This window comes from Homo sapiens, chromosome 10 (genome assembly GCF_000001405.40).
Source record: "Homo sapiens chromosome 10, GRCh38.p14 Primary Assembly".
Lineage (NCBI taxonomy): Eukaryota > Metazoa > Chordata > Mammalia > Primates > Hominidae > Homo > Homo sapiens.
Window position 1 is genome coordinate 21,821,372 of NC_000010.11, and position 13,902 is coordinate 21,835,273.

A 13,902-nucleotide genomic window follows, 5' to 3' on the forward strand; every position below is an offset into this window, starting at 1 on the left:
ATATTATGATGGCTTCTTTATATAACTGTTTTTCTCTATAGATTATAATCTCCTAAAGTTTGGGGACTATGCCTCTTGCTTATATATTCTCAATGCCTGAAACACATTATAAAGTCAATGAATGACTGTCGAATGAGTATTTTGAGGAAAAATAGAAGAACCCATGAGAAAATCGATGGGAAGCCTACCAGGCCACTTTGGAGGTAGGAAAATAAAATTCTAGATATATTAATAGACATGTATTACTCACATACAAGTGAGAAATGACAATAATTATATATTTCTCCTAGGATTCATGATACTCAAAATGAACATTTCTTGCTTTAAAGTTAGAAGTCCACCAAACAGACATTTTTATGTCTCAAGGGACATTTTAATTTATAGATTTATAGCTCTTAAAATTAAATATGACCTCAAGGGAACAAGTATTCTGTCTTCAGGCAGAACATTTTCTGTTATTAACCTATTCAGGAAAAAAAAAAAAACAACTGAGACTAAAATAAATTAAAAGGATTGAAAAAATGTATAAGGACATATCACCGGTAAATGGTATAGTGGAACTTAGAAACCTGCAGTGTTCTTTCCACTATATTCTACTATGGCGCATCCAGTATTTATCAAAGGTCATATTATTCAACAGAATGGTACCTGACTCTTAGTATAGTAACCGAAATCATATATGTATACTGGAATCTAATTACCATTTTGAAAGCATGAAGGGTAACATTTTTAGTTATGTTTAGTTTTGTTATATTCTCTTAGAACAGACTCATTTCAATAACTGGAGACAACTGGCAGGGCACAGTGGCTCACACCCATAATCCCAGGAGGCTTAGGCAGGTGGATCACTTGAGGTCAGGAGTTCGCGACCAGCCTGGCCAACATGGTGAAACCCCATCTCTACTAAAAACACAAAAATTAGCCAGGCATGGTGGTGCACACCTGTAATCCCAGCTACACAGGAGGCTGAGGCAGAAGAATCACTTGAACCCAGGAGGCGGAGGTTGCAGTGAGCTGAGATCGCGCCACTGCACTCCTGCCTGGGTGACACAGCGAGACTCCGACTCAAATAAATAAATAAATAAATAAATGAATAATAAAATAAATAAATAAATAAATACATGGAGACGATCTAGTCTTATGCTCTGTTTTTAAGAAAGAAAAAACTGAGACCTACAAAACTTGAAAAAATTTTCTTAAGTTCACAAGGTAATCAAAGACAGGGCTAGAGTAAGACCTTAACAATTTTAGCCCAATAATCCACTGTCAGTTTTTTGGGTTAGAAATACAAGTGTTAAATTGTCACTGACAATGAACATACATATATATTGTATCATAGTTATGTGATGATAAACATATCAAGCCAAATTGCTGAAGTGGGATACCTCTGAATAGTTCCATAAAATTAAGGTAGGATTATAATTTTAGGTGTCAGAACAGTCATGACAAGGCTTGAAAATTCTAAAGATCAGGATAAGTGATTTTTATCCTGGAAAATAATTTCCTTTACAGTTTTGTTATATTATCTAGTAGCAAAGTCCTAGACATAAACCAGGTGCACAGAAAATATTAATACATGTTAAATTGAAAAAACTACCACGGTCGGTAGTTTCAAATATTAGTCACTAACAAGAGAAGGTCTGTGTAATTTACAGAAAAGGGATAAGAATGCAGGCAGGGAAAACATAATAAAGAGGAGTAATTTGTAAATCATGACAATTTTAAAAACAAGTGTTATTTAGGTCTTTATTAATCTCTGCCACTTCAAAGAGACTTGAACTGAAGTCTGCAAAATCACAAGCGAAATCTATTAGAGGAGCTTTTTAGGAGAAAACTAAAACTTAGATGAATTATGAGCTTAAGAGCTGCTTTTTGGTAAAGGCAGTAAATAACCAGATCTCCTTATGACCAGTGGTATACATCTGTAAGATGGTTCCTAGGATGGGATAAGGAAAGTGATGTCAAAAGTATAAAAACCAGTCTCACACATGGATCAAACCACAGCATGACACCATTGATGATGCTCATATATGTGTGCCCACCCATTTAACTACATTTTTACATAGGGTAGTTTAGTGTTTTTTCCTAACTTAACATTTAGTCCGATTTTTCTATCACTGATGAGTATTTTCCTTAATCTCAATAAAAAGTTATTGTCATATTTTCTTCCTTCAATAAAAAGTTATTGTCATATTTTCTTCCTTCCGTATTCATTCTATGTCTTAAAATTTCTGGCTTCTGATATGCTTTTTACTTACATATAAACCAAGGGTGTCCAATCTTTTGGCTTCCCTGGGCCACAGTGGAAGAAGAGTTGTCTTGGGTCAGACATAAAATACACTAATGCTAACAATAGCTGACCAGCTTAAAAAAAAAAAAAAAGCAGAAAAATCCCACAATGTTTGAAGAAAGTTTATGAGTTTGTGTTGGGCCACGTTCAAAGCTGTCCTGGGCCGCATCCAGTCTGTGGGCATCATGGGTTGGACAAGCTTAATATAAACTATATCAGTCTATATAGTTCTTTTAATTTGAATAATAAAAAAATAAAGTGCACTGTTACTCTTTCATGTGTTTCAATACATGAGAATAAAAACTAGATACAATAAATGTATCAACAGGTAAAAACATATGGACAAATTCCTTGAGTATCTTAGCATACACTGCCTGACACATAGCAGGCTTACAATAATTATGTTGAATGAATGACTGGTTGATTAGCAGAATGAATGACAGAAAGAAACAGGAAGATTCTAGGCATTCTGAGAGGGGCAGGAATTTACCACTAAACAGTTCTTCTGGCATGTAACCATACAGACTAAATTCACTTGCTCTTCTGAAGGAATACTAAAGCTTCCATTCAATAACAGTAGCAGTATTAAGAGCGGCTGTCATACCCCACACCAAAAACTAGGCTAGGCAAGAAGAGTATATTATCTGAGAGAGGGATTTCAGACAGAGTTTGTTCTCAATACTAAATGCACTTCAAGTGTGAGAGTTCTATAAACGTTATTTACAGGTATACAAACATGCGGTGAATAACAGAGACTACTAGTGTCTCGAAACAGGAAAAGTTTGGCAACACAGGATGGTGGAAATACATTTGAGTACACGAAGTAAGGCTGTATAAGTTGAAGACATATATTAAGGTCCTAGAAAATAACAGTATTTAACAAATGTCAGCCCTGTGTTACTGAACTGCTAAACAGTCCTCTGGAGAGAGATGGACGGTGATGGAAGTCTTATCTGTTTTCTACAGCCTGGGCAAACCACACTGCTCCCATCCAGCCCCCACTTCCTACCCAGTTCACAAGGCTGTCACAAACCTGCCCTTATTCTTTTATTTTTAATTGTGGTAAATCATACATAACATAAAATTTGACATTTTAACTATTTTATTTTTATTTATTACTATTATTTTTGAGATGGTGTTTCGCTCTTATTGCCCAGGCTGGAGTGCAGTGGTGCAATCTCAGCTCACTGCAACCTCTGCTTCCTGGATTCAAGTGATTCTCCTGCCTCAGGCATTCCGAGTAGCTGGGATTATAGGTGCCCACCACCATGCCTGGCTAATTTTTTGTATTTTTAGTAGAGACGGGGTTTCATCACCTTGGTCAGATTGGTCTCGAATTCCTGACCTCAGGTGGATCCACCTGCCTTGGCCTCCCAAAATGCAGGGAATACAGGTGTAAGCTGCCACGCCCGGCCAACTATTTTAAAGTATACAATTTTAAGTGCACCATTCAGTGGCATTAAGTACATTCATATTGTTGTACAAGCCATCACCACTGTCCATCTCTAGAACCTTCTCATCATCCCAAACTGAAACTCTATACTTATTAAACAATAACCCCCTGTCTCTAGTCTCTGGAAAACACATATTTGCATTGTGTCTCTACAGATTTACTTATTCTGGATATTTCATAAACATGGAATTATATCATGTGGCCCTTTGCTTCTGACTTCTTTCAGTGTTCATCCCCAGTGTAGCATCTACCAGTCTTTTTTTTAACAAATGAATAACGTTCCGTTGTATGTATATAGCATAGTTAGTCAATCTAGTGATGAACATCTGGGCTCCTTCCACCTCTTGGCTACTGTGAATGGTGCTGCTCTGAACATGGCTGTAAGTGTTATTTGTTTAGCATCTGTTTTCAGTTCCTTTGAGTGTACACCTATGAGCGGAATTGCTGGGTCATATGGTAACTCTATGTTTAACTTTTTAAGAAACCACCAACCTATTTTAAAAAGCAGCTGAGACATTTTACATTCTCACTAGCAATGTATGAGGATTCAATTTTCTCCATGCCTTCACATTTCTTTTTTTCTGTTGTTATTGTTATAGCAATTCTAGTGGGTTTGCAGTGCTATCTTATGTGGTTTTGATTTTCATTTCCCCAATGATTGGTGATGTTGAATACCTTTTCATGTGACTACTGAACATGAGTAAATCTTCTCTGGAGAAATGTCTACTAAAATCCTTTGCTCATCTTTGAACTGAGTTATGTTGTTGTTATTGAGTTGGACTTCTTTATATATTGTGGTTATTAATCCCCTTATCAGATAGATGATAGAAAACATATCGACCAGCTGCAGTGTGGCTCATGCCTGTAATCCCAACACTTTGGGATGCCTAGGCAGGCAGATCGCCAGAGGTCAGGAGTTTGAGATCAGCCTGGCCAACATGGCAAAACCCTGTCTCTACTAAAAAGTACAAAAATTAGCCAGGCGTGGTGGCAGGAACCTGTAGTCCCAGCTCCTCGGTAGGCTGAGGCAGGAGAATGGCTTGAACCTGGGAGGCAGAGGTTTCAGTGAGCTGAGATCGTGCCATTGCACTCCAGCCTGGGCAACAAGAATGAGACTTTGTCCAAAAAAAAAAAAGAAGAAGAGGAGACGAAAATATATCACATATGCAAATATTTTCTCCCATTCTGTGGGGTGCATTTTTACTCTCTCTCTCTTTTTATTTTAGAGATAGAGTCTCACTATGTTGCCCAGGCTGGTCTTGAACTCCTGGGCTCAAGCAATCTTCCTGCCTCAGCCTCCTGAATTGTTAGGATTATAGGCATGAGCCACTGTACCTGGCCCATTTTCAGTCTCTTCATGGTATCCTTTGATATACAAAAGTTTTTAATTTTGATGAAATCTAAGTTATCTATCTTTCTTTTGTTGCCCAAGCTTTTGCTGTCATATACACGAAAACTTGCCAATTGCAATGTCAAGAAGCTTTCCTTCTATGTTTTCTTCTACTAGTTTTATAATTTTAGCTCTTACATTTATATCTTTGACCCATTTTTGTAAATTTTTCTATATACTATAACGTAATAGTCCAATTTCACTCTTTTGTAAGAGGATATTCAGTTTTCCCACCACCATTTGTGGAAAAGACTGTCTTCTCCACACTGAATGATCTTGGTAGCCTTGTTGAACATGTTTGACCATATATGCAAGGATTTATATCTAGGCTTTCTATTCTATTTTATTGGTCTACATATCTGTCTGTATGTCAGTACCACACCATTTTGAGTATTGTAGCTTTGTAGTAAGTTGCAAAAATCAGGAAGTATGAGTTCTCCAACTCTGTTCTTGTTCAAGTTTTTTTTTTTTTCCTTTTGGATCCCTTGAGATTCAATTTTGATGGGGACTGCACCGAATATGATTGCCCTGGGTAGTATTGTCATTTTAATAACATTAAGTCTTCCAATCCATGAACATAAGACGGTTTTCCATTTATTTAAGTTTTCTTTAATTTCTTTCAGCAATGTTTGGACGTTTTCAGTGTTACTTCATTCATTTCTATGATGAAGTAACTTCAAAGTCACTTTGTCCAGTTACTACCACTTGCTTACTGGAGGTCAGTTTCCTCCCTCCCCAGTGTCTGCCTTGGGGTTATATAATTTGTATCATGCTATCCACTCTTTTCCCATTGGACATTAGGTTTCCAAGATTTACCCATATTGATACATATAGTTTTAGTTTTAGTTTCATTCATTTTAACTGCAAGGTAGTATTCCACTGTGTCTTCATTTCCTAGGGCTGCCATAAAAAAATACCACAAATTAAGTGGTTTAAAATAACAGAAATTTATGCTGTTACAGTTCAGGAGGTTAGAAGTCAGAAATCAAGGTTTTGGCAGGGTTAGTTCCTTTTGGAGGCTCTGAGGGAGAATCTGTTCCACAACTCTCTCCTCGTCAGCAATCCTTGGTGTTCTGCGGCTTGCAGCTGCATTACTCCAACCTCTGCTGCGTCATCATATGGCCTTTTTCCTTGTGGATGCTTCTGTGTGACTTCTCTTTTTAGAAAGATACCAGTTGTTGCATTTAGGGCCCATTCTAATCTAGCATGACCTAATCTTAACTAAGACCCTATTCCCAAATAATATCATATTCTGAAGTTCTAAGTGGACATGGATTTGTTTGGGATACTATTCAACCCACTATACATTGATGACTACATATAATTTATTCATCATTATTCTCCTTTTGGACTCTTAGGTTGTTTAAAATTTTTCACTACTAGCATGCTGCAATGAACATCTTTTAAATAATTCTTTGCTTATATGTGTGTTTCTCTAGTGAATGCATTTAGAGGTGGAATTTCTGACAGGATATGGGCATCTTCAACTTTACAATTAGATATTGTCAAATTACTCTCCAAAGGAATTTTATTAATTTACTTCCCCATCAGCGTCAATGAGAGAACCTCTTTTTCCTCCATATAATTGCCAACATCTAATTTTGACTTTGCCAGATGTATACTTTGTTATTACTGCAAAACAAACAACTGAAAATCTCAGTGTATAAAACAATAAGCAATGTATTTATCATATGAGATGGCTGATCTAGGCTGGGGTCTGCTAGAGTAGTGCAGCCAGATCACTTATATCCCATGTGCCCAGCTAGGCACTATTATGATACTCATTTAACAGATCAGAAACTTAGAATCAAAAAATAAGGCAACTTTCCTAATGTCTAATAGCAAATGAGTAACCATTTACAAGCCAGATATCCAGATAATGTTGAATAAAAGGAAATTAAGGTATTATTTTCATGTTCATGATTTTTAAGTGAATGCTTCAAATATTTTACAAGTTAATGTACAGAGTTTCACCTATTGGCAGCGGGGTGTACTGGATGTTGAATTCTGTTGAATACATACTTGATTATGACAGACTTAAAGTCTTAAGATCAAAAAATTTAAACATATGATAGAAGTAGAACCAATAACATAATAAATCCTCATGTACCCATCACCCAGCTTCAACGATTATTAATTCATAATCAATCTTGTTCCATGGCTATCACCATCTACTTCCTCCCTCCATATTACTTTAAAGCAAATCTAAAACATTAGAAAATAACTTTTTGAAACTCAGTAACATTTTTGGAAGGATTTTTGTAACTAAGTTCATATGCAATACTGACCTACACTTTTTCTTTTTCATGATACACATATTTAATTTTGAAATTATAATTTACATTTGCCTCATAAAAGAACTTCAGGAATTTTTTCTCTATATATATCAGAATAATCCATATAAGGCAGGTTATCTGCTCCTTGAAAGTGTGGTAATTGTGTATATTTTCTTGCCATGTATAAAGCTGGGGTTGTTGTTTGATGCATAAAGATTATTAGGGTCAGTCCTCTTATTTTTTCCATCCCTTTACTTTCTTTTCTTTTTGAGATGGAGCTTTGCTATGTTCCAGGCCTGGAGTGCAGTGAGGTGATCTTGGCTCACTGCAACCTCTGCCTCCTGGGTGCAAGCGATTCTCCTGCCACAGCCTCCCAAGTAGCTGGAACTACAGGAATGAGTCACCATGCCCAGCTGATTTTTTTGTTGTTGTTCGTTTTTGTTTTTTTTTTTGAGATGGAGTCTCGCTTTGTCGCCCAGGCTGGAGTGCAGTGGCGTGATCTTGGCTCACTGCAGCTCCGCCTCCCGGGTTCACACCATTCTCCTGCCTCAGCCTCCCGGGTAGGCGGGACTACAGGCGCCCACCACTATGCCCGGCTAATTTCTTTTTGTATTTTTAGTAGAGATGGGGTTTCACTGTGTTAGCCAGAATGGTCTTGATTTCCTGACCTCATGATCCGCCCACCTCGGCCTCCCAAAGTGCTGGGATTACAGGCATGAGCCAATGCGCCCAGCAATTTTTTTGTATTTTTACTAGAGACGGGATTAAACCATGTTGGCCAGGCTGGTCTTGAACTCCTGACCTCAGGTGATCCACCTGCCTCGGCCTCCCCAAGTGCTGGGATTACAGGCGTGAGCCACTGGGCTGGGCCCATCCCTTTACTTTCAACCTTTCAGTGACATTATGCTTTAAATGTCTCTCCTGTAAATAACATATGGCTGGATTTCATTCTTTTAATTTGACAATATTTGTTATTTAACTGGTAATTATAGCCTATTTTCATTTATTGTGATTGAAATATTTGGATTTATTCCTTATCTTAATTTATGCCATTTACCATGTGCTTTCTTTTATTCTTTCTCTTTTCATATGTTCTTTCAGACTGGTAAAGTTTTCTTGCTCATGATCCTCTCTCAATTGGCTTGGAAGTTCTACATTCTAGCTACAGTAATGAATATCCAATATTTTTTAAACAATCACTAACAAATCTAAAGTAAATCCATATCTATCCCCCTCCCATTAAATACAAGAATCCTAAAATGTTTCTGATTTTTTTCTCCCATCTTCTAAGTGTTGCTGTCATGTATTTTAGTTTTAGTTTGTTTTACCTTGCTCTAAACTAGTCACCATTATTACAATACTTGCTTTTACAGTCAATGCTTTAGATTTATCAACATGATTTCCCTGTTTTGTCACAACTTTTTCTCACTACCCTCTCTTTTTTTCTACATTCAATTTTCTTCTTGCTGAAGCACATCCTTAAGTAGACTTCATGGTAAGGGTCCATGAGTGGCAAACTGCTAGGCCTTAGTTTGTTTGAAAATATCTTTATTTTATTCCTACTTTCAACTAATACTTTAACAATACATAAAATGCTAAGTTGACAATGATTTCCCTCAGCACTTTGAGGATATTTTCCTACTTTCTTCTGATATTTTTTGTTGCAGATGAGAAGGTAATTGGTAGTATAACTGGCGTTCCTTTGTTTTCTCTCTGTGGTTAGTTTTAAGATTTTCTATTTGCTTTAATGTTCAACAGTTTCTCCTTGATTTGTTTAGAGGTAGACTGTTTTTATTCATCCTGTTCAGTATACTATGTACTACTCAAATACAAAGATTTCTCTTTCTTACCAATTCTGAAAAATCTGTCTTTTTAAAAAATTATAATACTGCATTTCTCATTCTTTCTTTCTGAAATGTATTAAACATTCTATCTTTAGTGTCTCTTAACTATTCCTATATTTTCCATCCTTATCTGTTGGTTCTACATTCTGGATGATTTGACCAGATCATCTTCTAACTCATGAATTCTCATTTTAGAAGTTCAATTCAAACATTTTTTAAAATGGTTTAACCAAAAACAAAAAACTCAGTGAACATTTCATTTCTAAAAGTTCTTTTTTTCATATCCTGTCATGTTCTTTCACTATGGTTTTATTCCTACTTTTATCTCTTTAATCATTATAGAAATGCTGAGTTTTGTGGTCTCTTTCAGATTGGTTTTCTTATCTCTTATTCTTGTAATGCCAATTTTCTTCTTTGTTGCATCTGCTGACTACCCTCAAAGTTTATGAGTTTTAATAGTGGGCACATCTTTACTGGGTGGGGTAGTGGGGGTGGTCTTTGTTTTTCCTTCTGTGACAGTTCCAAAAACCCTGTTTGGGGTAAGCCTAAAGAATAGTTTTTGCTCTGGCCTCTGTCAGGTGCCCAGAGATTTCAATGGTTCTAGAACACAGGATTTTCTCATTCTCCTTTCACAGAAGGGTAGCCCTTTGAGAGCAGGCTAGAGGCTCAGTTCCAGCTGCCTCTGGACTCAAAGGCACAATTTCTGCCCCAAGTGGGTATTAAAACCCCAGGCACTAACACTTATATTCTGTGGTGTCAGTTTCTGCTAATACTCTGGTTTTGAGCTATTGTTACTGGTACCAAAACTAGATTTACTTTTCATTCTTTTAATCTATACTATGATTACTTTTGTTGTTACTGTTGTTGTTCTTAATACTTAATCTGGCCGGGTGCAGTGGCTTGCGCCTGTAATCCCAGCACTTTGGGAGGCTGAGATGGGTGGATCACGAGGTCAGGAGATAGAGACCATCCTGGCTAACATGGTGAAACCCCATCTCTACTCAAAATTCAAAATATTAGCCAGGCATGGTGGCAGGCGCCTGTAGTCCCAGCTACTCAGGAGGCTGAGGCAGGAGAATGGCGTGAACCTAGGAGGTGGAGCTTGTAGTGAGCTGAGATCGCACCACTGCACTCCAGCCTGGGCGACAGAGCGAGACTCCATCTCAAAAAAAAAAAAAAAAAAATGCTTAATCCTTTCTTGGAACGGTCATTCATATCAGCTCAGTCTGTTAGGTGGCCAGAAATCTCCCAAGGAAGCCTTCTCAAGGATTGATACATTTACTCTTATGTCTATAACATAATATCCGCTTTAGGTAGATATATATATAAAACTTAGGTGGATACCATAGTCATCCTGTGATTTCCAGGTGCAATGAAGAAAATTTAGAATTGACATAGGATATAAGAAAATGATCTGAAGTAGAACAAGCAATGACAGAAAACGAAGGAAAATAAAAATCTAAGGAAAAAGAATAACATAGCATATATAAGGCATAAAAATACATGTAAATTCTCACAGTCTAGATTTCATAACTGCTGACGTTTTGCCATATTTGTTTTATCTCCTGCAACATTCCACTTTTTCATGTCCTATTTTAAGTCACAGTAATCTTCTCATTCTCCTTACTTTGGGAATATTCCTTTTCTGGTTCTGATTCCTCAATTTCTCTCCTAGATGTTTTTCTTCTATGTGCTTCCCTGGTTTTAGCCATCAAATGTATGTCAAGGTCCCCAGTAGTTACATCTCTAGTTCTGATTTCTTAAATTCTACATTAACAACTATCTGCTGAATGTTTCCTGATGTATGTCCCATTTGCATCATAAACTTAGCACATACCAAACTGATTACATATCATTCTCTCTGCCAAACTATCACCTCCTAACCATGCCCCATATTTTTTTAATGGTAACTGTCTCTTCCAATCACCAAGTAGGCATTTTTACTTCTTCCTCCTCCTTATTGCATTATCCAATCAACTGATTTCTTGAATCCTGAACATTCAAGATTTGTCCAGTCTCTCCCCTGGTCTCTATTTCTGTTAGCTACTTCACTCAGGAATTTATTATCTCTTACTAAGACTATTGCAAAAATCTTCTAATGGGTCCTTCTCTTCCCTTTGATCTTATATACTTTTGCAGTGAAATATTTCTAATATGTGGACAACATCACTTCACCTTCTGTATGATTTAAACACTCTAACCTCTCATTCAAGATCTATGATTTGGCTGCGACCTACTTTTACAAACATATTTTCTCTTTATCATTTCAAGAATCCTTTGACCCAGCTAAACTAAATTACTCACTGTTCCTGATGATATGCTCTGAGTAGTTCTGTCTCAAGAGTGATTTATTCCTTAGTTTCTGGAATGTTTTCCCCACCCCACTTCTAAATCTTTCATAAAAATTTTTGGTTTTTTCCTAGGTGGAAGTAATCTTGCCATCTGCTAAACTGCAATAGTACTTTAAACCTCTCACAAAGTACACCTCAAAATATGCTTATTTAGCTCTTTGTCTGACCTTTTCAACTACATGATATAGTGACAGTGGTTAAGAGCATGAGTTCTGGCTGGGCGCAGTGGCTCAGGCCTCTAATCCCAGCACTTTGGGAGGCTGAGGCAGGTGGATCACAAGGTCAGGAGTTTGAGACCAGCCTGGCCAACACAGTGAAACCCCATCTCTACTAAAAATACAAAAAATCAGCTGGGCATGGTGACGGGCGCCTGTAATCCCAGCTATTTGGGAGACTGAGGCAGGCGAATCAATTGAACCTAGGAGGCGGAGGTTGCAGTGAGCCGAGATGGTGCCATTGCACTCCAGCTGAGGCAACAGTGTGAGACTCTGACACAAAAAATAAAATAAAAATAAATAAATTTAAAAAAGCATGAATTCTGAAACCAGTGAAGTGGGTGTGAATCACGGCTATGTCATGTATTAGCTAAGCAGTGTGGGAGAATTTACCTTGCCTCTCAGTTTTCTCCTGTGTAAAATGAAGAAAATAATAGCATCTACCAAATGGAGTTGCTGTGAGAATCAAATAAGTTAATACACATGAAGTGCGCAGAACAGTACCAGGCACACAGTAGCCACTTAATAAATGTTAGCTAATATTCAGGACAAAATTCAGTATGTCTTATTTATCACTGTACCACCCACTCACACTCTTCCACCAGCAGATAGATGGCAACTGTTTTTTATTAAAAAAATTACCACCAACAAAATACTATATAATGTAAAGCATTATACAACCAAATACAAGATTAAGTGGCACAGAAATGTGCTACTAGAAATCAGACAGGGGAAAGATCACTGTAGGGTAAGTTTGTAAAAAAAAATACTTTATGAAAGAGGGGTTCCCCAGGCCAGGTGCGGTGGCTCACACCTGTAATCACAGCACTTTGGGAGGCTGAGGTGGGCGGACCACGAGGTCAGGAGATCGAGACCATCCTGGGTAACACGGTGAAACCCCATCTCTACTAAAAATACAAAAAATTAACCGGGCACGGTGGCGGGCGCCTGTAGTCCCAGCTACTCGGGAGGCTGAGGCAGGACAATGGCGTCAACCTGGGAGGTGGAGCTTGCAGTGAGCTGAGATCGTGCCACTGCACTCCAGCCTGGGCGACAGAGCAAGACTCCATCTCAAAAAAAAATAAGAAAGAAAGAAAGAGGGGCTCCCCAGTGAAACGTTGTTTAAAAGACCTAATGTGGACTAAGGAGAGGAGCCAAGATGGCCGAATGGGAACAGCTCTGGTCTACAGCTACCAGCGTGAGCAACGCAGAAGATGGGTGATTTCTGCATTTTCAACTGAGGTACCGGGTTCATCTCACTGGGGAGTACCAGACAGTAGGTGCAGGACAGTAGGTGCAGCGCACCGTACGCGAGCCGAAGCAGGGCGAGGCATCGCCTCACCCTGGAAGCCCAAGGGGTCAGGGAATTCCCTTTCCTAGTCAAAGAAAGCAGTGACAGACGGCACCTGGAAAATCGGGTCACTCCCACCCTAATACTGCACTTTTCCAACGGACTTAAAAAACGGCACACCAGGAGATTATATCCCGCACCTGGTTCAGAGGGTCCTAAGCCCATGGAGTCTCGCTCATTGCTAGCACAGCAGTCTGAGATCAAACTGCAAGGTGGCAGCGAGGCTGGGGGAGGGGCACCCGCCATTGCCAAGTTAGTTGTTTGATTAGGTAAACAAAGCAGCCAGGAAGCTCGAACAGGGTGGAGCCCACCACAGCTCAAGGACGCCTGCCTACCTCTGTAGGCTCCACCTCTGGGGACAGGGCATAGACAAACAAAAAGACAGCAGTAACCTCTGCAGACTTAAATGTCCCACTCTGACACCTTTGAAGAGAGTAGTGGTTCTCCCAGCACGCAGCTTGAGATCTGAGAATGGGCAGACTGCCTCCTCAAGTGGGTCCCTGATCCCCGAGAAGCCTGTCTGGGAGGCACCCCCCAGTAGGGGCGGAATGACACCTCACACAGCCGGGTACTCCTCTGAGACAAAACTTCCAGAGGAACGATCAGACAGCAGCGTCTGGGGTTCACCAATATCCGCTGTTCTGCAGCCACCGCTGCTGATACCCAGGCAAACAGGGTCTGGAGTGGACCTCCAGCAAACTCCAACAGACCTGCAGCTGAGGGTCCTGTCTG

At 38.8% G+C, this 13,902-nt stretch overlaps 1 protein-coding gene across 2 annotated transcripts in view, besides 1 other annotated feature; it reads right to left on the reverse strand.

Annotated features, from left to right (window-relative positions):
• Positions 1 to 13,902, reverse strand: part of DNAJC1 (DnaJ heat shock protein family (Hsp40) member C1) — a 247,183-nt gene that overhangs the window by 64,824 nt on the left and 168,457 nt on the right. The window lies entirely within an intron of this gene.
• Positions 4,196 to 4,396: a silencer, noted in NCBI's record as "peak900 fragment used in MPRA reporter construct". NCBI's record gives its function as "represses an SCP1 promoter by STARR-seq MPRAs in K562 erythroleukemia cells {active_cell/tissue: K562}" and the evidence as "EXISTENCE:reporter gene assay evidence [ECO:0000049][PMID:32103011]".